This window comes from Homo sapiens, chromosome 7, assembly GCF_000001405.40.
Source record: "Homo sapiens chromosome 7, GRCh38.p14 Primary Assembly".
In the NCBI taxonomy this organism is placed as follows: Eukaryota; Metazoa; Chordata; class Mammalia; order Primates; family Hominidae; genus Homo; species Homo sapiens.
In genome coordinates this window covers 73,612,237-73,636,701 of record NC_000007.14, presented here as the reverse complement: position 1 = coordinate 73,636,701, position 24,465 = coordinate 73,612,237, and the positions used below count along the sequence as shown (strand labels likewise).

At 52.6% G+C, this 24,465-nt stretch overlaps 1 protein-coding gene across 15 annotated transcripts in view, besides 2 other annotated features; it reads left to right on the top strand.

The window, feature by feature from the left end:
- MLXIPL (MLX interacting protein like) overlaps positions 1–24,465 on the top strand; it is a 54,706-nt gene that overhangs the window by 11,206 nt on the left and 19,035 nt on the right. For 13 of the 15 annotated variants that reach the window (NR_134541.2, XR_007060040.1, XM_047420435.1 and 10 more), the window contains exons 1-2: positions 12,180–12,502; positions 20,525–20,631. Coding sequence is in view for 11 of the 15 variants with exons in the window: in XM_047420435.1 (XP_047276391.1) it covers positions 12,210–12,502; positions 20,525–20,631 (400 nt within the window). In the remaining 4 variants the exon portion in view is untranslated. Of the gene's footprint in view, positions 1–12,179; positions 12,503–12,637; positions 13,919–20,524; positions 20,632–24,465 lie in introns of those variants that run through there. The other 2 variants (XM_047420436.1, XM_047420437.1) reach the window with 2 other exon arrangements.
- Positions 29–323: an enhancer, noted in NCBI's record as "tiled region #8994; K562 Activating DNase unmatched - State 20:ReprD". NCBI's record gives its function as "activates a minimal TATA promoter and a strong SV40 promoter by Sharpr-MPRA in K562 cells {active_cell/tissue: K562}" and the evidence as "EXISTENCE:reporter gene assay evidence [ECO:0000049][PMID:27701403]".
- Positions 280–1,129: an enhancer, noted in NCBI's record as "H3K27ac-H3K4me1 hESC enhancer chr7:73049903-73050752 (GRCh37/hg19 assembly coordinates)". NCBI's record gives its function as "activates a minimal SCP1, AML or CMV promoter by ChIP-STARR-seq in primed H9 embryonic stem cells {active_cell/tissue: H9 hESC(primed)}" and the evidence as "EXISTENCE:reporter gene assay evidence [ECO:0000049][PMID:30033119]".

Sequence of the window (24,465 nt, the reverse complement as noted above, 5' to 3'; positions counted from 1 at the left end):
AATCCCCAGCCTGGCAGTTGTCCATGGGCTACTCTCTGAGAAATACAGATACCTCGGTGCCCACTGGAGCCAAGCCTAGCATGGAGTCACAGGGTGGCTGCCTGTGCTCCGAGGGAGCTGGGGACATGGCAGCTATGTAGGCTGCTGGCACCCTGCTGGCACCCCAGCCAGTTGAATGACTCATTACTCTGGTTCCCCAGCCCCCGCCTTTGTTTCTCCAGCTCTTCCCTCCCAGAATACCTTCTGCCCTCTCTGTGTGACTAATTCTCACTTCGTCTTTTTTTTTTTTTTTGAGACAGAGTCTCACTCTGTCGCTCAGGCTGGAGTGCAGTGGCTCAATCTCGGCTCACCACAACCTCCACCTCCCAGGTTCAAGCAATTCTTGTGCCTCAGCCTCCTGAGTAGGTGGGACTACAGGCATAAACCACCGGATCCGGCTAATTTTTGTGTTTTTAGTAGAGATGGGGTTTCACCATATTGGCCAGGCTAGTCTTAAACTCCCGGCCTCAAGTGATCCTCCCACTTTGGCCTCCCAAAGTGTTGGGATTGCAGGCGTGAGCCACGGTGCCCGGCCTCCACTTTGTCTTTTGAGGTCCCCCTCAAGCACAGTTTCTTCTAGAGAGCCTTCCTTAACCCCCTGGGCTGCAAGTCCGGCCGCCCTTAACTGAACTTCCACAGTCCCAGGAACTGGGACTGGCCCCCTCTAGTTGCTGGAGGGCATGCCTCACTCTGCATACTGAGCTGCACAAAGGCAGGAGCCATGTTGCAAGCATCTGAGCATTCCCCACCTCTGCCTGAACAGAGGGCATGACATCAGCAGGCGGTTAATATGTGTACTGGGTGGGCAGATGGGTGGGTATTTGAGTGGATGGTTGGATGAATAGAAAGTTAGGTAGGTGTATACATGGAACGATGGATGGACAGATAGACATATTGGTAGATGAATGGACTGATGGAAGAAGAAATGGATAGATAGAGAGGGGGATGGATGGATGGGTGGATAAAGAGATAGATGGATGGATGATGGATGGATGGATAGATAGAAGAGATGGATTGATGGAAAAAGAGATGGGTGGATGGAGAGAGATGGATGGATGGATAGATAGAAGAGATGGACTGATGGAAGAAGAGATGGGTGGATGGATGGATGGATGGATGGATGGATGGAAGAAGAGATGGGTGGATGAAAGAAGAGATGGGTGGATAGTAAGGTGAATGGACAGATTGTAAATGAATAGACAGGTAGATGAACAGACAGATGGGTGGGTAGACTGACTATTAGAGTATAGATGAATTAATAGGTAAATAACTAGATGGACAGATGAATGGATGGCTGGACGGATGACTAGATACTCACTTGATCTCTACCCTGCTGTCCTTCCTCCCCTTCTTCTCCTCTTTCTCTACCTCCTCCTCCACTCTCATAGCCTCAGAGCACAAAGATCAATGATTTTCAGTTGAGACCAGAGGTAATCTACACAGGACTTTTTGTCCTACACAGGACTTGGTATTTGTATAATTTAGAAATGTATGAGCAATATGACTGATATTTATAGTATTATTAAACATAAATATAGGCCAGGCACAGTGGCTTACGCCTGTAATCCTGGCACTTTGGGAAGCCGAGGTGGGCAGATCACTTGAAGTCAGGAGTTTAAGACTAGCCTGGCCAACATGGCGAAACCCAATCTCTACTAAAAATACAAAAAAAAAAAAAAAATAGCTGGGCGTGGTGGTGCATTCCTGTGGTCCCAGCTACTCGGGAGGCTGAGGCAGGAGAATCGTTTGAACCCAGGAGGTAGAGGTTGCAGTGAGCCAAGATCCCGCCCCTGCACTCCAGCCTGGCCGACAGAATGAGACTCCGTCTCAAAATAATAATAATAATAATAATAATAAATACATATAGAAGCAGAAAGCCTATAAAAGTGTACTTCTTGCAAAGAAAAGTGGGTTTTTCGTTCCTAATATGTTGAATTCATAATTTAAAAAAATTAAGTTAAAATTATTGGCCAGGCACAGTGGCTCACGCTTGTAATCCCGGCACTTTGGGAGGCCGAGGCAGCAGGCAGATCACTTGAGGTCAGGAGTTCGAGACCAGCCTGGCCAACATGATGAAACCCCATCTCTACTAAAAATACAAAAACTAGCCAGGCATGGTGGTGCACACCTGTAGTCCCAGCTACTTGGGAGTCTGAGACAGGAGAATTGCTTGAACCTGGAAGGTGGCAGTTGCAGTGAGCCAAGATCGAGCCACTGCACTCCAGCCTGAGCAACAGAGTAAGACTCTGTCTCAAAAAAATTTTCCTTTTAAAGTAAATAATTATTTATTTATTTTTGAGATGAGATCTCACTCCGTCGCCCAGGCTGGTCTTGAACTCCTGGCCTCAAGCAATCCTCCCACCTCAGCCTCTCAAAGTGTTTTGGATTACAGGTGTGAGCCACTGCTCCTGGCAAACTCGTAATTTTTGGTAGAACAATTGGGGTACTTCTGATATGAAAACAAGTCTGGTCCAACTTCTTCACTTCGATATAGTCATATTTATCCAATTTTCGTTCATGGTTTGTTCACCCATTTTACAGATACAGAAACTGAGATCCAGACAGGGGAAGTGACTTCCCAACTTGCCGCCAGTTAAAGACACAGTTCGAGACTCCTCTCTCTCACTCTTGTCCGCTTCTCCATCCTCTTCTCACTCAGTGAGCTTTGTGAGAAGCTAACTGCCAAGTTAATCTTGCCAAGCTAACTTTGCCAAGTCCTTCCGTAGGCCTGATACATCATCTCCCTCGTCCCCGCACCTAGATGCCAATCTACCCCTAGCCACAGTAGTGGCTTCCTGAGTATGTAAGCTGGTGAGAGGAGCTGAGGGGTCAGTGAAAAGAGGCAGAGGCATGTTTCTCACTTTGAGGTGCTCAGGCTGTTTAGGGCACCATCAAACTCCAGACTATCAGCCAGACACCATGGCTCACGCCTGGAATCCCAGCAACTTTGGGAGGCTGAGGCAGGAGGATTGCTGGAGCCCAGGAGTTCGGAACCAGTTTAGGCAATATAGCAAGATCCTGTCTCTACAAAAAAAATAAAAATTAGCCTGGCATGGTGGCTCCCACCTGTAATCCCAGTACTTCGCGAGGTCAAGGCAAGAGGATGGCTGGAGCCCAGGTCAAAACCAGCCTGGGCAACATGACGAAACCCTGTCTCCACAAAAAAATTCAAAAATTAGCCAGGCACGTTGGCACACACCATGGCGGGAGGACTGCTTGAGCCCAAGGAGGTCAAGGCTGCAGTGAGATGTGATCTGGCCACTGTACCCCAGCCTGGGTGACAGAGTGAGACTTCATCTTAAAAAAAAAAAAAAACACTTTGGGAGGCCGAGGCAGGTGGATCACAAGGTCAGGAGATTGAGACCATCCTGGTTAACACGGTGAAACCCCGTCTCTACTAAAAATAGAAAAAAAATTAGCCGGGCGTGGTGGCGGGTGACTGTAGTCCCAGCTACTCGGGAGGCTGAGGCAGAAGAATGGCATGAACCTGGGAGGTGAAGCTTGCAGTGAGCCGAGATCGAGCCACTGCACTCCAGCCTGGGCAACAGAGCAAGACTCCATCTCAAATAAAAAAAAAAAAAAGGTAGGGTGGGGTGGCTCACTCCTATAGTCCCGGCGCTTTGGGAGGCCGAAGCAGGCAGATCACCTGAGGTCAGCAGTTCAAGAACAGCCTGGCTAACATAGGGAAACCCCATCTCTACTAAAAATACAAAAAATTAGCCACACGTGGTGGTGGGCACCTGTAATCCCAGCTACTCACAAGGCTGAGGCAGGAGAATCGCTTGAAGCTAGGAGGCGGAGGTTGCAGTGAGCTGAGATCGCGCCACTGCACTCCAGCCTGGGCAACAGAGCAAGACTCCGTCGGAAGGAAGGAAGGAAGGAAGGAAGGAAGGAAGGAAGGAAGGAAGGAAGGAAGGAAAGAAGGAAGGAATGAAAGGGAAAGGAAGACTTTCCTTCCCACAGGAAGACAGTCTGTGACAAGCCCCTTGTCTTCCTTCCCACAGGAAGACAGTCTGTGACAAGCCCCAGACTGTCACACTGAGGCACACACAGGAACACAGGGTAGGTGAGGAGGGGAACAGGGCTGGGCCCTGGATCTGCACTAGGACATCAGTGAAGATGGTTGTGGCCGAGGGAAATAACCCATGGAACACCTCTCACACTACCTTGTAAGGGCGAATCAGGATGTAGAATGGCTGATTTCATATATGTATATGGGTGCAAAGTCGGTTTCGTTTTCAAATAAAACCACTAAGTCTAACATACATGTAAATGGTGCACATGTCATAAGTATCTAACTCCATGAATTTTCACAGAGAACATCCCCATATAACCAGAATCCAGATAAGGAAACAAAATGTGGCCAGGCACAGTGGCTCATGCCTATAATCTCAGTGCTTTGGGAAACTGAGGCAGGAGGATCACTTGAGCCCAGGAGTTCAAGACCAGCTTGGACAGCATAATGAGACTCCACCTCTACAAAAAAAATAAATAAATAATAAAAAAATTTAAAAAATTAGCTGAGTGTGGTGGTCCCAGCTACTTAGGAGGCTGAGGCAGGAGGATGGCTTGAGCCCAGGAATTTGAGGCTAGAGTAAGCCATGATTCTATCACTGCACTCCAGCAACCTAGGTGACTGAGGGATACCCTGTCTGGAAAGAAAAGAAAAGAAAAGGAGAGGAGAGGAGAAAAGAAAAAAGAAAAGAAAAGAAAAGAGAAAAGAAGAGGAGGGGAGGGGAGGGAGGGGAAAGAAAAGAAAAGACAGGAGAGGGGAGTGGAGGGGAGGGCAGGGAAGGGAAGGGAAAAGGAAAGAAAAGAAAAAAGACAAGACAAGACTGGAGAGAAGAGAGGAGAAGGGAGTGGAGGGGAGGGGAGAAGAGAGAGAGAGGGAGAGAGGGAGAGAGGGAGAAGGGGAGAGAGGAAGGAAAGGAAGAAGGAAGGAAAGGAAGAAAATTTGACCAGGCACAGTGACTCGTGCCTGTAATCCCAGTACTTTGAGTGGCTGAGGTGGGAGGATCACTTGAGGTTGGGAGTTTGACACCAGCCTAGGCAGCATAGCAGACCCCATCTCTACCTAAAAAAAAAAAAAAAAAAAAAAAAAAAAGTAGCAACATCCTTCATAGCTCTCTTCTTGAGCCCTTCTAGTCACCCTGAGGCTAAATGCAACCCTGACTCCTAACACCATAGATGAGCCTATTTTGGAGCTTTATATGAATGAAATCTTACAACATATACACTTCCGTGTCAGGCTTCTTTTGTTTAATACATAATCAGTGAGATTCACCCATAGGGCTGCACTTAGCTGTAGAGTGTTCATTCTCATTGCTGCATTAATATTCCCTAGTGTGGGCCGGGTGCGGTGGCTCACACCTGTAATCCCAGCACTTTGGGAGGCCGAGCCGAGGCAGGCAGATCACAAGGTCAGGAGATCAAGACCATCCTGGCTAACACAGTGAAACCCAGTCTCTACTAAAAATACAAAAAAAATTAGCTGGGCGTGGTGGCGGGCACCTGTAGTCCTAGCTACTCGGGAGGCTGAGTCAGGAGAATGGCATGAACCCAGGAGATGGAGCTTGCAGTGAGCTGAGATCATGCCACTGCACTCCAGCCTGGGTGACAGAGCAAGACTCCGTCTCAAAAAAAAAAAAAAAGTATTCCCTAGTGTGACTGTTCTGCAATGTATTTATCCATTCACCTGTTGATAGGCATCCGGGGCATCTCCAGTGTTGGGCTAGTAAGATCAGTGCTGCCACGAATAGTCTTGTGTTTTGGTGCACATGTGTGCACACTGCTGGGTTCTAACTAAGGTGGGAGATGCTCAATGCTAGTAGATGCTGCCAAATACCTTTCCAAAGTGATTTTGCCTCCACTGGCAGGAGCAGTAGATGAGTGTCTGCTCGTACCACATCCTCCTGCACAATGGCCAGCCCTTTGAGTTTGAGAACATAGGTACTTGTGGAACAGGCTGGCATTCAATTGTCTGCGTTTGAATCCCAGTTCTCTTCTTATCATGTGACCTTCAGCAAAGGTTGTTTTCTTATCTGCAAAATGTGTTGAAAATCAAAGGGTAGGCCGGGCACAGTGGCACACGCCTGTAATCCCAGCACTTTGGGAGACCAAGGCAGGAGGATTGCTTGAGCTCAGGAGTTCAAGACCAGCCTGGCCAACATGGCAAAATCCCATCTCTACAAAAAATACAAAAATTAGGTGGGCATAGTGGCACACGCCTGTAGTCCCAACTACTCGGGAGGTTTAGGTGGGAGGATCACTTGAGCCCAGGAAGCAGAGCTTGCAATGACCCAAGATCATGCCACTGCATTCTGGCCTGGGTGACAGAGTGAGTGAGACTCCATCTCAAAAAAAAAAAAAAAAAAAAAGACAAGCTGGCCTGTAATCCCAGCACTTTGGGAGGCCGAGGCGGGCAGATAACGAGGTCAAGAGATCGAGACCTTCCTGGCTAACACAGTGAAACCCCGCCTGTACTAAAAGTACAAAAAATTAGCCGGGAGTGGTGGCGGGCGCCTGTAGTCCCAGCTACTTGGGAGGCTGAGGCAGGAGAATGGCGTGAACCCAAGAGGCGGAATTTGCAGTGAGCTGAGATCGTGCCACTGCACTCCTGCCTGGGAAACAGTGCAAGACTCCGTCTCATAAATAAATAAATAAATAAATAAATAAATAAATAAATAAAAATAATAAAAAAGACAAGCCAAGGGGCTGTTGTGAAGATCCTGCGGACCTGCTAGGTGGTAAGTGCTCCATAAAGGTTAGCTTTATATAGCTAATTCTCACCACAATCCGCCAGATCATTTCACCTCTCAGAGTCTCAGTCTCCCCATCTGTAAAATGGCAATGAAAATTCTAACACACCCACATATACACACAGTTGACAGGCTCACTAGTAAATGGAATAATTTATGAACGTGCCTTTTAGTTTTTAAGAGACAGGTTCTCACTCTGTCACCCAGGCTGGAGTACAGTGGCATGTTTATAGCTCACTGCAGCCTCCAACTCCTGAGCTCAAGCGATCCTCTCACCTCAGCCTCCCAAGTAGCTGGAACTACAAGACCACAAATAGCTAATTTTTTAATTTTTTGTAGAGACAGAGTCTTGCTATGCTGTCCAGGCTTGTCTCGAACCCCTGGGCTCAAGCAATCCTCCCCTTGGCCTCTCAAAGTGCTGGGATTACTGGCATGAGCCACCACGCCCAGCAGTGATTCTTGCTCTCAAGGAATTTGCCATCTAGTGGGGAGGAAAAGCACGTGCGTCATCACTGTGAATGCAAAGCTGAATGAAATTAGACTTATATTAGAACAAGGGTGGTGCGGCCAGGCACGGTGCCTCACTCCTGTAATTCCAGGACTTTGGGAGGCTGAAGAGGGTGGATCACGAGGTTAGGAGTTCAAGATTAACCTGACCAACATGGTGAAACCCCGTCTCTACAAAAATACAAAAATTAGCCAGGCGTGGTGGTGCACCCTTGTAATCCCAGCTCCTCAGGAGGCTGAGGCAGGAGAATCGCTTGAATCCGGGAGGTGGAGGTTGCAGTGAGCTGAGATCACGCCACTGCACTCCAGCCTGGGCGACAGAGCAAGACTTGGTCTCAAAAAAAAAAAAAGAAAAGAAAAGAACAAGGGTGGTGGGAACTCAGAAATAACCTGGAGAACTTGGGGAAGATGTCATAGGTGGGACTTCAAGGACAGGTGGGCTTTCCCAACAAGGAAGGGCAGGCTGGGTGAAGAGCCCTGAGGACCAAGACTGGAAGGCAGAGAGGATGTGACATCAGGTGGGATGGCTGGGGACAGCCAGGTATTCACACCACAGTTAGGATCTTGTCTTGCATCTCCATGGACCATGAACAAGACTTGTTTGTACAGAGGCTGTAAACTGCTGGCTATAGTAACAGAGGCTAGAGAAGCAGCAAGAGCGTGAGCCAGCTTACATGTACATGGCTGTGCTATTATCTGGGCAATGGTGCCCTGAACAGGGGGTGCGGCGCCTGTGGTCCCATTACAAGTGGCTCACACTTCTAATCCCAACACTTTGGGAGGCTGAAGTGGGAGGATCACTTTGGCCCAGGAGTTTGAGGCTGCAGTGAGCTATGATTGTGCCACTGCACTCCAGGCTGGGTGACACAGCGAGACCCTGTCTCTAAACACAGGAGAAATCAGAATCTGTGGACGTCCTTGCATTTATTGGACACTCTAGTGTTTGGATGTTTTGCATTGTGCAGTCAGGGTTTGTCTTTTCAGCGGTTAGGCTTCTAGAGGTGTTATTAAGCCCTGGAGGAGGGCAGAAATGAGATGCAGATGCCTGTTGAGGGGCAATTCATGGCTGGGGAAGGAGGGATGTTGGGTGAAGGAGAGAATTCACTCATAATCTTCCCACCCGCTCAGATCCAGCTCAGAGGAAAGTCCCTGAAACCGCAGGAGACAACTCTGATGTTTTCAGAGCATGGGGAGAGCACGGTGGGGTGATCTGGAGACACGGCCAGCAGAGACTTGGAGCCAAGATTCCTGGATCCCCAACAAATCACTGAATTCAGGCCAGGCACAGTGGCTCATGCCCGTAGTCTCAGCACTTTGGGAGGCCGTGGTGGAAGGGTCGCTTGAGCCCAGGTGCTCGAGACCAGCCTGGGGAATATAGTGAGACCTCATCTTTACAACAGCAAAAAGAAGAAGAAAGAAAGAAAGCACTGAGTTTGGCCCTCAATTTTACAGGTAGTGAGACAGATCGCCAGTAAGACAGAGAGACAGAGATCTCCCCAGTGTTACTCATGGAATTAGCAGCAGAGCAAGGATCAATTCCGGTCTTCACCTGAGCCAGGGTCCCCGGAGCCAGGAGGTCCCAAGCCAGAGGCGAGGGCGGAGCTGACACTTCCTATCCAACCTCCTCCACAGCACCCCACCCGCTCCTCTTAGTCTCATGCCCCTTTCTTCAAGCATCCCCCAAGTCTCCAGGTACCCAGTGTGGGGGTTCAGAGATGCTAGGACACAGTCTTGCCTCAATGGCCTACGGAGGAATAGGGGGAGAAGCCAGACAGGCATATAGGGGTAAGTAATGATCCTGTCAGCCTCTGTACCAAGGGCCTCAAAAGACGGTTAACTGCCACCTGAGAGCTGGCCACGGTGGCTCACGCCTGTAATACCAGCACTTTGGGAGGCTGAGGCAGGTGGATCACTTGTGGTCAGGAGTTCAAGACCAGCCTGGCCAACATGGTGAAACCCCATCTCTACTAAAAATACAAAAATTAGTCGGGCATGGTGTTACACGCCTGTAATCCCGGCTACTTGGGAGGCTGAGGCAGGAGAATCGCTTGAGCCCGGGAGGCGGAGGTTGCAGTGAGCTGAGATCATGCCACTGCACTCCAGTCTGGGTGACAGACTGAGACTGGCTCAAAAAAAAAAAAAAAAAAGAGGGCCACTTGGGGATGGCTCTCTGAAGCAGGGCAGAGCCCCTCCAAAGGAGGGAGAGTGGGGTGAGCATCAGAACCCCCTTTCCTAACCTGGCAGGGATGGGCAGAGAGAATGCACATCCTACAGAGGGCAGCAGGGAGGATGGAGCAGAACAGCTGGGGCTCCTGGGAATGTGATGCGAACATTTGGCAGAGACAGAAGATACCCGGCCAAGGGAGGTGGGTGGAAGGGCTGGCCTGTGAGCAGCCTTGGATAATCACTTTCCTCCCACAGCCAGTGGCTGGGGCCCTCAGGGCACTGCCATTGTGATCCTAGGTGCTGTGTGATCCTCCTGTGGGCTGGAAGAAAGTGCTGCATGTCAACCTTTTCCAAGGCTGCCACACATGGGAAACCACCTCCTCCGCTTTCCCTAACATGACCACACACAGGATACCTGTCAGAAAGCCAGCAGAGCTTAGCATGTGCCTACAACTCTTTCCTGTCCCCACCCACTAGGGACATCCTTGGGGGAAATCTGGAAATCTACTAGACCAGGCTTTGCTGCTGCCCCTCAGAGATGCTTGGGTGTGTTTTTGCTCTCCTGTGCCTCTGAACCCATCTTTGAGGCTGTTAGTTAAACGCTCCAGTGAGGTGTCAGGTGTGAATGCCTCAGTCTGGTTTCTGTCCTCAAGGTGAGAAAAGAGGCTTCAGAAGCAGAAAGGCCATGTACAGTGGCTCACACTTGTAATCCCAAAACTTTGGGAGGCTGAAGCAGATTTCATCTCTACAAAAAAAAAAAAATTAGCCAGGTTTGGTGGCATGAGCCTGTAGTCCCAGCTACTAGGGAGGCTGAGGTGGGAGGATCGCTTTGGCCCAGGAGTTTGAGGCTGCAGTGAGCTATGACCGTGCCTCTGCACTCCAGCCTGGGTGACAGAGCGAGACCCTGTCTCTAAAAATATATAAATAGGCTGGGCACGGTGGCGCATGCCTGGAATCCCAGCACTTTGAGAGGCTGAGGTGGGCAAATCGCTTTAAGGTCAGGAGTTTGAGACCAGCCTGGCCAGCATGGAGAAACCTCGTCTCTACTAAAAATACAAAAATTAGCTGGGCATGGTGGCGGGCACTTGTAATCCCGGCTACTCAGGAGGCTAAGGCAGGAGAATCGCTTGAACCAGGGAGGCAGAGGTTGCAGTGAGCCGAGATCGTGCCATTGCACTCCAGCCTGGGTGACAGAGTGAGCCTCCGTCTCAAAACAATAAATAAATAGAAGTATATAGATAAATAAAAATACAAAGAAGCAGGAACAAAAGCTGGACCTCAGTGTCAGTGAGAGAAGGGGCTCAGAGCTCCTGGGTAGATGCCTGCCTAGGGGATGTCCACCTTCCAGTGAGCCACCCATCCCTACCAGTAACAGTCCCTCGAGGCTCCCCTTGGGCCTCTCTGTGCAGGTGAAGTAATGATCACAATTTTTTTAATATATATTTTTTCTTAAGTATTTTATTTTGTTTTTGAAACAGGATTTCACTGTTGCCCAGGGTGGAGTGCAGTAGGGCGCGATCTCGGCTCACTGCAACCTCCACCTCTTGGGCTCATGTGATTCTTCCACCTCAGCCTCCCGAGTAGCTGGGATTATAAGCCAAGCACGCATCGTCACATCCGGTAATTTTTGTATTTTTAGTAGAGAAGGGGTTTCTCCATGTTAGCCAGGCTGGTTTCGAACTCCTGGCCTCAAGTGACCCACCCACCATGGCCTCCCAAAGTGCTAGGATTGAAGGCGAGAGCCACCGCGCCCGGCCACCGTGTTGGCCACCATGTTAACTAGAGGTGTTAGCAACCTCCTGTGGGCCAGGCCCTTCAGGGGCATTACCTTGGGCTTACCACATCAGGCCCCTGAGAGTTGGGGGCTTCTACCTATGTGGAGGACCCAGAAGAGCTAATATGGGGGGCGGGGGTTGGAGGTGAAGGGCAGGAGTTAGGTGAGGGGAGATGGTGATCTCTGGCCTCACAGGAGGGTGCCCCTGAAAGAACAAACCCCAGGTCCTGAGGCGCTTTCAGGCTCAGGTGTGATAGGGGACCCTTTTGTTGTGGAGACAGGGTCTCACTCTGTCATCCAGGCTGGAGTGCAGTGGCGCGATCTCCGCTCACTGCAGCCTCAACCTCTTGGTCTCAAGCGATTCTCCCACTTCAGCCTTCGGAGTAGCTAGGACTACATGCACACGCCACCATGCCTGGATAATTTTTGTATGTTTGGTAGAGACAGGGTTTTGCCATATTGTCGAACTCCTGGGCTCAAGGAATCCTCCCACCTCAGCCTCCCCAGTAGCTGGTATTACAGGCTTTCTCCACTATGTCCGGCTAATTTTTGCATTTTTTTGGTAGAGATGGGGGTCTTGCCATATTGCTCAGGCTGGTCTCGAACTCCTGACCTCAAGCCATCCTCCCGCCTTGGCCTCCTAAAGTGCTAGGATTACAGGCAAGAGCCCCTGGCGTCCGGCCTGACCTTTCTTAATATCCCTTTGGAGCAAAGTAGGGGCGGCTCTATCAGGACTCCAAGGAAAGACGGGAAGGGAGATGGGGCCAACCCGCCAGAGCTCCAGAGCACCGGGTTCTCACCTGGCGTAAGGATTATGCTAATACAAGCCCCGCCCCGTCCCAGGCCCCGCCCACCCGATCGGCCTATGGTGTGGGGGCGGGGCTATGTTAATGAGGCCCGGCTGGCCAAGAGCTGTTCCCCGCGCTGCGCGGAGCAGGGACCAGGCGGTTGCGGCGGCGACAGCCATGGCCGGCGCGCTGGCAGGTCTGGCCGCGGGCTTGCAGGTCCCGCGGGTCGCGCCCAGCCCAGACTCGGACTCGGACACAGACTCGGAGGACCCGAGTCTCCGGCGCAGCGCGGGCGGCTTGCTCCGCTCGCAGGTCATCCACAGCGGTCACTTCATGGTGTCGTCGCCGCACAGCGACTCGCTGCCCCGGCGGCGCGACCAGGAGGGGTCCGTGGGGCCCTCCGACTTCGGGCCGCGCAGTATCGACCCCACACTCACACGCCTCTTCGAGTGCTTGAGCCTGGCCTACAGGTGAGGGCGGTTCCGGGCCCTGACGGCCTTGGCTTCCAGGTGGGGATGGGGGGGGGGTCCGGGGCAGGACTGCGCGCTGGGGCCCTCAACACCCCACCCGAGCCCGGTCCTGCGGCTCCCGGAGGCTCCGATCACGCCCTGGACACCCCCTTTCTCCCAGCCCCGAGGTCCTCCTACAGCGGCCCAGCCCGCTGGCCCCTGACGGACCCACGCATTTCTGATTCCCATTCCTCCCCCATTCCCTCTTCCCCGAAGCGCAGACCGCCTGCGCCCCACCTCTACCTGGACCTCTGGTCCCCTCTCTCTGGTCCCAGCCCCTCCGTCCCTACAAAAATGCCAGGCGCCCCTGGTCCCTAGGCCACCCGCGCCCATCCCCACTCTCCACTCTGGAGCCACTCCACCCGACCCCCTGCAGGCCTCGGCCTTCTCCCCAGCAGCCCCGGCCCAAGCCCGCCCTATTCCTGGACCCTGAGATACTCCCAGCGCCCCTGATTGTCCCAGTTCATAACCAAAGTGGACTGGAACTGGCCCACTCTCACGTCCACCTCCCCGCAATTGCTGAGACACCTCTTCTTGATCTGCTACATTAAGGGTGGCGGGAGGAGGATGTCCCAGAAATGTCCAAGAGGCGCAGCTCGCAGAGGTTACGCCGGTGCCCGGGAGGCCTGGGTTCGCCTACCCACGTCGCCACACTAGGCTGAGCGCCCGTCGCTGCCTGGGACCCCCGCTTAGTGCCACCGAGAGCGCACAGGCCGCGCCCCGCTGCCGCTCCACGCCCCGCGTCCCAGAGGAGGGCGCGAACCCGAGGCCTGGCCCAGTGCCCTGGAGCAAAGTTCCCCGGAGTTGAGGGGCCAGTATAAATTATCAACCGAAAACCCGTAGGGGAGAAAGGGGGATCGGCCGGCCTTGATCTTTTCTCTGTGCAAATATTCCTCTTCCTCCGCGGCGCCTCCTCCCCTTCTGAGAACCGCTGGCTACAGATCGGCACCTGCCGCCCTGCGGGGGAGCAGGAGCTGGGGTGGGGACTGTGAGGGGAGTGTTGCCTGCCCCCAACCGCAGCCGCCCAGCTGCGACCCCATTGGCTGGAGGCGGAGTAACCTTGGCCCACAAGCTCTGGCCCCTGGCCCAGGTCATGTTGCAACCCGATCGGCCAGGGCGTCGGACCCGTGTGGAAAGTTCAAATTCCCGTCCCTTCTCCCTCCCTCCCCAAATGTCACGCGACTGCCTGGGACAGGGCATCTAAGGTCCTGGTACACCGGATGCCGGCACTCCTCCTCCTAAGGGTCTCCCATTTCCCACCCAACCCCAACTTTGGCTGCTCATTATATACTACACATCACTCTATTTGGGAGGGGGCCTCACTTCCAACCCTGACGATGGGTGACCAAAGAGGAGAGGTTCTGGGGAGCTGGCAAGGTAAGGGACAGAGCGCACCCCCAAAATTGCCCCCCCACCCAGAGGCTGACTCAAGGCTGATGTAACCCCAGTCAGAGATAGCTGGGGTAGAGAGGACTGTGTTTTCTTCCCAAATACCCAAATATTAATAGTAAATCTCTGGCTGGGCACAGTGGCTCCTGCCTGTAAGCCCAGCACTTTAGGAGGCCAAGGTTCTCATCCAAGGATTGCTTGAGCCCAGGAGTTGGAGACCAGCCTGGGCAACATACTGAGAACCTGTCTCTACCAAAAAAAAAAAAATTTTTTTTTTTTTTTGAGACAGAGTTTTGCTCTTGTTGCCCAGGCTGGAGTGCAGTGGTGCCATCTCAGCTCACTGCAACCTCTGCCTTCCGGGTTCAAGAGAATCTCCTGCCTCAGCCTCCTGAGTAGCTGGGATTACAGGCGCCCACCACCTCCAGCTAATTTTTTGTATTTTTAGTAGAGACGAGATTTCACCATGTTGGCCAGGCTGGTCTCAAACTCCTGACCTCAGGTGATCCACCTGCCTTGGCCTCCCCAAGTGCTGGGATTACAGGCATGAGCCAACATGCCTGGCCAAAAAAAATTTTCTTTAATCAGCCAGGTGTGATGGCACATTCCTAGTACCAGCTACTGGGGAGTCTGAGGTGGGAGGATCACTTCAGCCCAGGAGGTTGAGGCTCCAGTAAGACATGATGGTGCCACTGCACTCCACCCTGGGTGATAGAGTGAGACCTTGTTGGAAGGAAGGGAGGGAGGGAGGGAGGGAGATGGGGGGAGGAAGGAAGGAAGGGAGGGAGGGAGATGGAAGGAGGGAGGGAGATAAAGGAGGGAGGGAGATGGAGAGAGGGAGATGGAGAGAGGGAGATGGAGGGAGGGAGGGAGATAGAGGGAAATGGAGGGAGGGAGATGGAGGAGGGAGGGAGAAGGAGGGAGGGAGGGAGATGGAGGGAGGGAGACGGAGGGAGATGGAGGGAGGGAGAGGGAAGGAGATGGAGGGAGGGAGGAAGGGAGAGAGGGAGGAAGGGAGGGAGGGAGGGAGATGGAGGGAGGGAGGGAGCTGGAGAGAGATGGAGGGAGGGAGGGAGATGGAGGGAGGGAGGGAGATGGAGGGAGATGGAGGGTTGGCTCGGTACCAGGAGAGCTTCTAGATTTCCCCATTTGGTAGTGGAAAAGCCCTGAGGCTTGAACTGGGACAGTGTTTTCATCCTCAAAGACCCCCAGTTCCAGGGGTCCCCTGGAGGGGAGCAGATTACAGGAGCTGAGTGTCCCAGGGGAGTGACTATATGGGAAGAGACAGTAAGGCAGAGAGTTCAGAAGGTGGTGGGAAGAACAGCGAGCTTGACCAGGGACCCACCTGAATCAGGGACCAGCCTGACCCAGAGACCAGCCTGCAGAGGCCTGGCAAGGTTTCACCCTCTGCAGGTTAGCGTGGGCAGAGGGAGGATCGAGGAGGCCGTCTTCCATGGCTCCGTGGGTGGAAGCCCCAGGGAGGTAGTTTCTGGAAGCTTCAAGGAAGCACTTGTTCATGGTCAGAGCTGGCTAGCTTTAGGAAGAGTGGCCTTGAGGGTGCAGGGGAGCAAACAGGACCTGGTTAGGGGGCAATCTAAAAGGAATTCCTGAAAGGTGGGAGGTGGGCAGCTGAACTTGGGGTTTTCTCAACCCCCTCTCTAAGTCTCAGAGTTTTCTTCTCCTTCTTATTATTTATTTATTTATTTATTTATTTATTTATTTTTGGAGACAGAGTCTCACTCTGTTGCCCAGGCTGGAGTGCGCTGGCATGATCTCAGCTCACTGTAATCTCCGTCTCCTGAGTTCAAGCGATTCTCATGTCTCAGCCTCCAGAGTAGCTGAGGTAACAGGCATGTGCCACCATCCCCAGCTAATTTTTAATTTTCAGTAGAGACGAGGTTTCACCATGTTGGCCAGGCTGGTCTCGAACCCCTGACCTCAAGTGATCTGCCCACCTCAGCCTCCCAAAGTGCTGGGATTACAGGTATGAGCCATCGTGTCCTGCCTTTTTCTTTCTTTTCTTTTTTTTTTCTGAGACGGAGTCTCACTCTGTCGCCCAGGCTGGAGTGCAGTGGCGCAATCTCAGCTCACTGCAACCTCCACCCAACGGGTTCAAGCAATTCTCTGCCTCAGCCTCCTGAGTAGCTGGGATTACAGGCGCCTGCCACCACATCCGGCTTTTTTTTTTTTTTTTTTTCAGTACAGGTGGAGTTTCACCATGTTGGCCAGGCTGGTCTTGAACTCCTGACCTTGTGATCCACCCGTCTCGGCCTCCCAAAGTGCTGGGATTACAGGTGTGAGCTACTGGGCCCAGCTCTTTTCTTCTTTTAATAGTTTTTGTTGTTGTTGTTGTTGTTTTTTGTTTGTTGTTGAGACAGAGTCTCGCTGTGACACTCAAGCTGGAGTACAATGGCATGATCTCGGCTCACTGCAACATCCGCCTCCTGGGTTCAAGCGATTCTCCTGCCTCAGCCTCCCGAGTAGTTGGGATTACAGGCACGCACCACCATGCCCGGCTAATTTTTGTATTTTTAGTAGAGACGGGGTTTCTCCATGTTAGCCAGGCTGGTCTTGAACTCCTGACCTCAGGTGATTCGCCTGCCTTGGCCTCCCAAAGTGCTGGGATTATAGACGTGAGCCACCGCGCCTGGCCCTATTAATAGTTTTAAATAGAGATAAGGTCTCACTGTATTGCCCAGCTGGTCTTGAACTCCTGGGTTCAAGCGATCCTCTCCCCTCAGCCTCCCAAAGTGCTTAGGTTACAGGCCCACCACTGCTCCTCATCAGACTTTTCTATTGGTCATAACAAGTTTTTGTTTTGTTTTGTTTTGTTTGTTTGTTTTTTGAGACGGAGTCTTGCTCTGTCGCCCAGGCTGGAGTGCAGTGGCGCGATCTTGGCTCACTGCAAGCTCTGCCTCCCGGGTTCACACCATTCTCCTGCCTCAGCCTCCCGAGTAGCTGGGACCACAGGCACCTGCCACCACGCCCAGCTAATTTTTTGTATTTTTAGTAGAGACCGGGTTTCACTGCGTTAGCCAGGATGGTCTCGATCTCCTGACCTTGTGATCCACCCATCTCGGCCTCCCAAAGTGCTGGGATTACAGGCTTGAGCCACTGCGCCCAACCAGAATTTACTTGTTTTTTATGAGTCGGGTTCCCACTCTGTTGCCCAGGCTGGAGTGCAGTGGTGTGATCACAGCTCACTTCAGCCTTGAACTCCTGGGCTCAAGCGATCTTCCCACTGCAGCCTCCTGAGTAGCTGAGACTAGAGGTTTGCACCACCATGCCCAGCTAACTTTTTTTTTTTTTTTTTTGAGATGGAGTCGCTCTCTGTCGCCCAGGCTGGAGTGCAGTGGCACAATCTCGGCTCACTGCAAACTCCGCCTCCCGGGTTAACGCCATTCTCCTGGCTTAGCCTCCCAAGTAGCTGGGACTACAGACGCCTGCCACCACGTCCGGCTAATTTTTGTATTTTTAGTAGAGACGGGGTTTCACGTTGTTAGCCAGGCTGATCTCGAACTCCTGACCTCAGGTGATCCACCCACCTCGGCCTCCCAAAGTGCTGGGATTACAGGCATGAGCCACTGTGCCTGGCCCCAGCTAACTTTTTAACTGTAGAAACAGGGTTGCACTATGTTGCCCATGCTGATCTCAAACTCCTGGCCTCCTACAGTCCTCCTGCCTCGGCCTTCCAAAGTGCTGGGATTACAGGTGTGAGCCATCCCCAGCCAGTCATAAAAAGTTCTTGAACCCTAGCGTTACGCTCTTCCTCCAGGCTGAGTCTCTTCTCTCACAGCCCCAAATCCTTTTCTTCCTCCTGGGCTTGGATATTGTCACTGTCACATCTGCTCTAACCCTGCCTGGGCCATGAACGTCATAACCTTAGCATGGAAGCGGGAGAGAAGGCAGGCAGGTCAAGGGTGCGACACGGGGTGATCAGAATGGGCTGGGAGGTTGCTGGGATACAGACAGGGACAACAGACTCAGGAGTCCCCCACCAGGTGCCACAGAAGAAGCTGGCCCAGGAGGTAGCAGAGTCTCCCCCCACCCCCACCTCCATGTCTCCCTACCAAACAGATGGTGTTTATCTAATTCTCAGAGGGAGGGGCCCAGCCAGTGGCCCAGAGAGCTGGGCTGTGTATCTTATTTGGGTAATGAGGCCTGTTGTCCCTGGTGGGGAGGGGGCAGTCCCCCACCCCCACCCCAAAGCAAACACAGGAACTTGGAGACCAGGGAGGAGAGAGGGCCCAATGACCAATGCACTCAAGTAGGGAGAGGCTGCGGAGTCAGACTGGCACCCACCCACATTTCACCCCCAGAATGTAGGAAAGACCCCTGGAGGAAGCAGGTATGGTTTTCTGAAAGACTAAGCCTTGGGGGCCAGGTGCGGTGGCTCACGCCTGTCATCCCAGCACTTTGGGAGGCCAAGGTGGGTGGATCACTTGAGGTCAGGAGTTCGAGACCAGCCTGGCCAACATGATGAAGCCCCGTCTCTACTAAAAATACAAAAGTGAGCTGGGTGTCATGGCATATGCCTGTAATCCCAGCTACTCAGGGGGCTGAGGCACGAGAATCATTTGAACCTGGGAGACGGAAGTTGCAGTGAGCCAAGATCATGCCACTGCACTCCAACCTGGGTGGCAGAATGAGGCTCCATCTCAAAAAAATGAAAAAATGGCTAAGACTTGGGGCCTCAGCCTTCCCATCTGAGATCTGAGTAAGGGATGCAAAAGGCGGGCTAGAGGGGACTGGTACACAACCCTGGCTTGTGGATGGAGACGAGAGAGGGAGGGAGAGACTAGCAGGGGGTCTAAGACCCTGAATGTCTTGGCCTCCTGGCTCAGCTTCCTGGAGGCAGAAGACTTGGCCTGTGCCTAGCAGGACCCTCACCAGTGTAAGCTCTTCCATCCAGTGGATTTTTTTTTCCTTCAAGACAGGATCTTGCTCTGTTGCCCAGGCTGGAGTGCAGTGGCGTGATCATAGCTCACTGTAGCCTCAAACTCCCGGGCTGAAGAAATCCTCTGACCTCGCCTCCCTAGTAGCTAGGACTATAGGTGCATGCCACCACACCCGGCTAATTTTAAAATTATTTTGTAGAGACAGGGTCTTGCTATGTTGCCCAGGCTGGTCTCAAACTCCTTGGCTCAAGCGATCCTCCCGCCTTGGCCTCCCAAAGTGTTGGGATTACAACCGTGAGCTACCGCGCCCAGCCCATCCTGTGGATTTGATGGACAGCTAGGGTTAGAGTGAGGGTGCTCTGTCTCCATGAATACCATTTGCTCATCCTAGCGGCCTTCCTTTGGGATCTGTTGGTTCATTGTCTTCTGTGCAGCCCTGAGAAGAGCACACCTTCTCGCTGAGTCCAGGTTGCCACCCTGGGATTCTGGGCATGGCAGACACCAAAAGGACTGTACCATGAAGGCAGTGACTGCCACTCTCTATAAAGAGGCACCCTCGGCTGGGCATGGTGGCTCACATCTGTAATCCCAGCACTTTGGGAGGCCAAGGTGGGCAGATCACTTGAGGTCAGGAGTTTGAGACCAGCCTGGGCAACATGGTGAAACCCCGTCTTTACTAAAAATACCAAAAAAATTAGCTGAACGTGGTGGCGCACAACTGTAATCCCAGCTACTCGGGAGGCCGAGGCACGAGAATTGTTTGAATCCAAGAGATGGAGGTTGTGGTGAGCTGAGATCTCACCACTGCACTCCAGCCTGGATGACAGACTGAGACTCCGTCTCAAAACCAAAAGCAAACCAAAAAAAACCAAACCAAACCAAAACAAAACACAGAGGCTCCCTCTCTACCAGGCAAACCATGGCCATCCCCTTTGCCTCTCCTGGGCCTAAGGAGGCCTGAGTGACCTCGGACCTGCCCCTTTCCTCCCTGACTCTCAGGAAGGTCTTTTTTTTTTTTTTTTTTTTTTGAGACGGAGTTTCACTCTTGTTGCCCAGGCTGGAGTACAACGGTGTGATCTCAGCTCACTGCAACCTCCGCCTCCCAGGCTCAAGCAATTCTCCTGCTTCAGCCTCCTGAGTAGCTGGGATTACAGGTGTGCGCCACCACAGCCAGCTAATTTTGTATTTTTAGTAGAGACAGGGCTTCAGTATGTTGGACTAGGCTGGTCTCGAACTCCTGACCTCAGGCGATCCACCCGCCTTGGCCCCGCAAAGTTCTGGGATGACAGGCGTGAGCTACTGCACCCAGCCCAGGAAGGTCATTTCTTATTCTCTTAAATGAGAAATGGGCCTGAGCACTGTCCCCAGCCAGCCTCCAAGACACACCTGTGAGGCCACTGGACATTGTTGCTTCCAGGGCCGAGCTGATCCACAGGTTTCAGCGTGGCTTTTGTTCTGCAGTAGACTGACAAACAGGTCTCCCCAGGGAACACAGGGGCCGCTGGTGGGAGTCTGGAAGGGGATTTTGAAGGTCTGACTCTCTGGATAGGAATTTCAGGCAGGTTGGGTTGGGGGGCCAGATTTGGAGGGGCCCCTCAAATGCCAACCATAGATGGATGCCTAGTGCATGGGGAATATGGGGACCAGCCTCTGTGGCAGCACTGCATCTCCCTAACCCTACTCCTCTCCCCTTTGACAGTGGCAAGCTGGTGTCTCCCAAGTGGAAGAATTTCAAAGGCCTCAAGCTGCTCTGCAGAGACAAGATCCGCCTGAACAACGCCATCTGGAGGGCCTGGTATATCCAGTGTGAGTGGCTACCACCAGCCTCCCAAGCCGGGAGGGACTGCCCCCTCCAACCCTCCTGCCAGAGGGTTCTACATGGTGGCTGCCCAGGAAAATCCCCGGGGTCCTCAAGGCCAGCACTAGCAGAGTTCTGCCAACCTTTTTTTTTTTTTTTTTTTTTTGAGACACAGTCTTGCTCTGTTGCCCAAGCTGGAGTGCAGTGGTGCCATCTCGGCTCACTGCAACTTCCGCCTCCCAGGTTCAAGCCATTCTCCTGCCTCAGCCTCCCAAGTAGCTGGGACTGCAGGCACCCACCACCACTCCCAGCTAATTTTTGTATTTTTAGTAGAGACGGTTTCACCATGTTGGCCAGGCTGGTCTTGAACTCCTGACCTCAAGTGATCTGCCCACCTTGGCCTCCCAAAGTGCTGGGATTACAGGCGTGAGCCACCACGCCTGACCCTGACAGCCTTTTAGGGGGAGACCAGGCCCCCAGCACCAGGACTCCTGAATAGCTCCTGACCTCCAGCGGGTCTCGGGGAATAGGTCCCAAAGGGTGTTTCCACTGTGAAGCTGGGCACAGCAGAGGTCACCCCTCAGTAGCACTAGGGTAGGCTGAGATTTGAGGTACAGTTCAAAGCCCATTTTGCATCCCATTAGCATAGTTGGGTGCCTTGAATGCGAGGGTAAAAAGGGCCATTAGACACTAGCGGGGCCAACTGCATCACTTTGTAAATGGAGAAACTGAGGATCCCGCATGGGTCTCCACCAGCCTTTCATTGAAGTCCTTCCTGAATATCCAGTAGGTGCCCACCATGGCCAATTGGGCAGAGGGGATCCAGAGAGGCCATGCCATCTCGTGGAAGGAACTCTGGACTTAGAGTTGCCCAGAGCTAGTTCCTCCACCCCGTCTCTGCCCCTTGCTGGCTGTGTGACTTCAGGCTAGTTGCCTAGCCTCTCTGAACTTGTTTCCTTATCTATAAAAACGAGGCCACGGTGGCTCACACCTGTAATCCCAGCACTTTGGAAGGCCAAGGCGGGCAGATCACAAGGTCAGGAGATCGAGACCATCCTGCCTAACGCAGTGAAACCCGGTGTCTACTAAAAATACAAAAAATTAGCTGGGCGTGGTGGCGGGTGCCTGTAGTCCCAGCTACTCGGCAGGCTGAGGCAGGAGAATGGCGTGAACCTGGGAGGCGGAGCTTGCAGTGAGCTGAGATCGCGCCGCTGCACTCCAGCCTGGGCGACAGGGCGAGACTCCGTCTCAAAAAAAAAAAAAAAAAAAGGGCAAAACAAAAAACGAGGCCAATAGTCCTAACTTTCATGGTTGGTGTGGAGATAACAGGTATTCCAGGGTGTTGCCACTAAGTTGGTATCCAATACATGATGTATCCTTAAGGAGGTCACATTCTCATTCATTTGGGAACACCCCACTCCCCATGGCAGGGCAGCAGAGGCAGAGAGGACTTGGATCCGCCAGCCCTGTGTTGGGACCTCATTCAGGTCAGGTTCTGCTGCAGGATCAAAGGCTGCACTGAGCTGGGAATGCAAAGCCCAGGAGAGACCACACGCAGTATTCTCTGTCCTCGCCCCGCTGGATTTCATCCAAGCAGGGAGAGGGTGTGTTTTCTGGTTTCCATTTATCTACATGCCAGGCACTTTCGTGAATCACCTTATTTAAGGCTTCCTAGCAACCCTGGGAGATAGGTTTTATTACCGCCATGTTATGGATGAGCAACTGAGGCTCAGAAGGCAAGTGACATATTCAGGTTCACAGAGCGTAAAAGAAGCAGAGCTGGGGCTGGCTGGAAGTCCACAGTTCCCCAACTCCAAATTATGGCGGTGGGGGGGGTTTGTTTGGTTTTGTTTTGTTTTTTAATACGAAGTTTCGCTCATGTTGCCCATGCTGGAGTGCAGTGGCGTGATCTTGGCTCACTGTAACCTCCGTCTCCCTGGTTTAAGAGATTCTCCTGCCTCAGCCTCCTGCACCTCTCCTGGGGCAAGAAGAACTTTCCACTTTGTATTGTCTCGTGTTGTTTGTTTACTTCCCTTATCTCTCCCACTAAGCTGTGGGCACCAAGTAGCTGGGATTACAGGCACCCGCCAAATTTTGTATTTTTAGTGGAGACAGGGTTTCACCATGTTGTCCAGGCTGGTCTCGAACTCCTGACCTCAGATGATCTGCCCGCCTCAGCCTCCCAAAGAGCTGGGGTTATAGGCGTGAGCCACCACACCCAGCCTGCAGAAGAAATTTCTGATGGCAGCTGAGGCATGATGTCACCTGGGGTCCTCACCCAGACACACTGATCTCCAGCTATTGCACAAGTTGCTGGAAGGACCCCAGGTTCGGAATCAGACAGAGTGAGGTTTCAGTCCAGCCCTAGCATGTCCTAACTGTGTGGGCTTGGGAAATTCTCTAGCCTCCCGGAGTCGAAGCTTGCTATTTGTGAAAATGGGAATGACAGGTCCTATTTGTTTTTTCTTGGTTTTCTTTTTTTTGAAACAGTCTTGCTCTGTCACCCATGCTGAAGTGCAATGGCACGATCTCGGCTCACTGCAACCTTCACCTCCCAGTTCAAGCAATTATTGTGCCTCAGCCTCCCAAGTAACTGGGACTACAGGCGCATGCCACCATGCCTGGCTAATTTTTGTATTTTTAGTAGAGACGGGGTTTCACCATGTTGCCCAGGCTGGTCTTGAACTCCTGGCCACAAGTGATCTGCCCACCTCGGCCTCCCAAAGTGCTGGGATTACAGGCATGAGCCACCGCGCCCGGCCAATAGGTCCTATTTCTGAGGTTCACTGAGTTTTCAGTGAGATCATCTGTATCTCACTGTCATAGTCATAGCAGCACGTGACACACATACAACAAATGTCAAGACCCCTCCTCCTCCCTAAACGCCAAAGGTTTGAAGGTGGGCTTCACGGGAGTGGGGAGGAGAAGGGCTTACTTGGCTTGACGCCACTAATGTCGGGCCTTAGGGCTCAAGCAGGAAGGGCTCTGCCACCCCCTGCAGGCTCCTATCCTCTAAGATTCTTCCTTTCCTGATCCAACAGTCATACTCCCACACTCTGAAATCGTCTTGGTGTCCTGGGAGCTCCCTGGCACTTTGCACCGCTCCTGGGGCAAGAAGGACTTTCCACTTTGCATTGTCTCGGGTTGTTTGTTTACTTTCCTTATCTCTCCCGCTAAGCTGTGGGCACCCTGCCTGATTCATCCATGTGTCCTGTCCCAGTATCTGTCTCAGCATAGGTGCAAAGGGTTCCGCGGCTGAGTGAAGGGAAGAACTTATCAGTGTTAAACAAAGCCTGCCCCAGCCCCCAGGAAGCCACATGGTTACAGCCTTTCCATGAGAAACAGTCCAGAGGATGGGGTCTCTGGGCTGGGGAGGGGGGCTTCACTTGGCCCTGACTTTCTGAGAGCCCTGGACAAACTTTTTTTTTTTTTTTTTGAGATGGGGGTCTCACTCTGTTGCTCAGGCTGGAGTGCAATGGTGTGCTCTCGACTCACTGCAGCCTCCTCCTCCGGGGTTCAAGCGATTCTCCTGCCTCACCCTCCTGAGTAGCTGGGACTACAGGTGCGCACCACCACGCCCGGCTAATTTTTTGTATTTTCGGTAGAGACAGGGTTTCTCCATGTTGGTCAGGCTGGTCTCGAACTCCCGACCTCAGGTGATCCGCCCACCTCGGCCTCCCAAAGTGCTGGGATTACAGGCGTGAGCCACCGCGCCTGGCCTAACAAACTTAATTTTATTCTATTTTTTGAGACAGGGTCTCACTTCATCACCCAGGCTGGAGTGCAGTGGAGCCAACATAGCTCACTGCGGCCTCCAATTCCTGGGCTCAAGCAATTCCCCC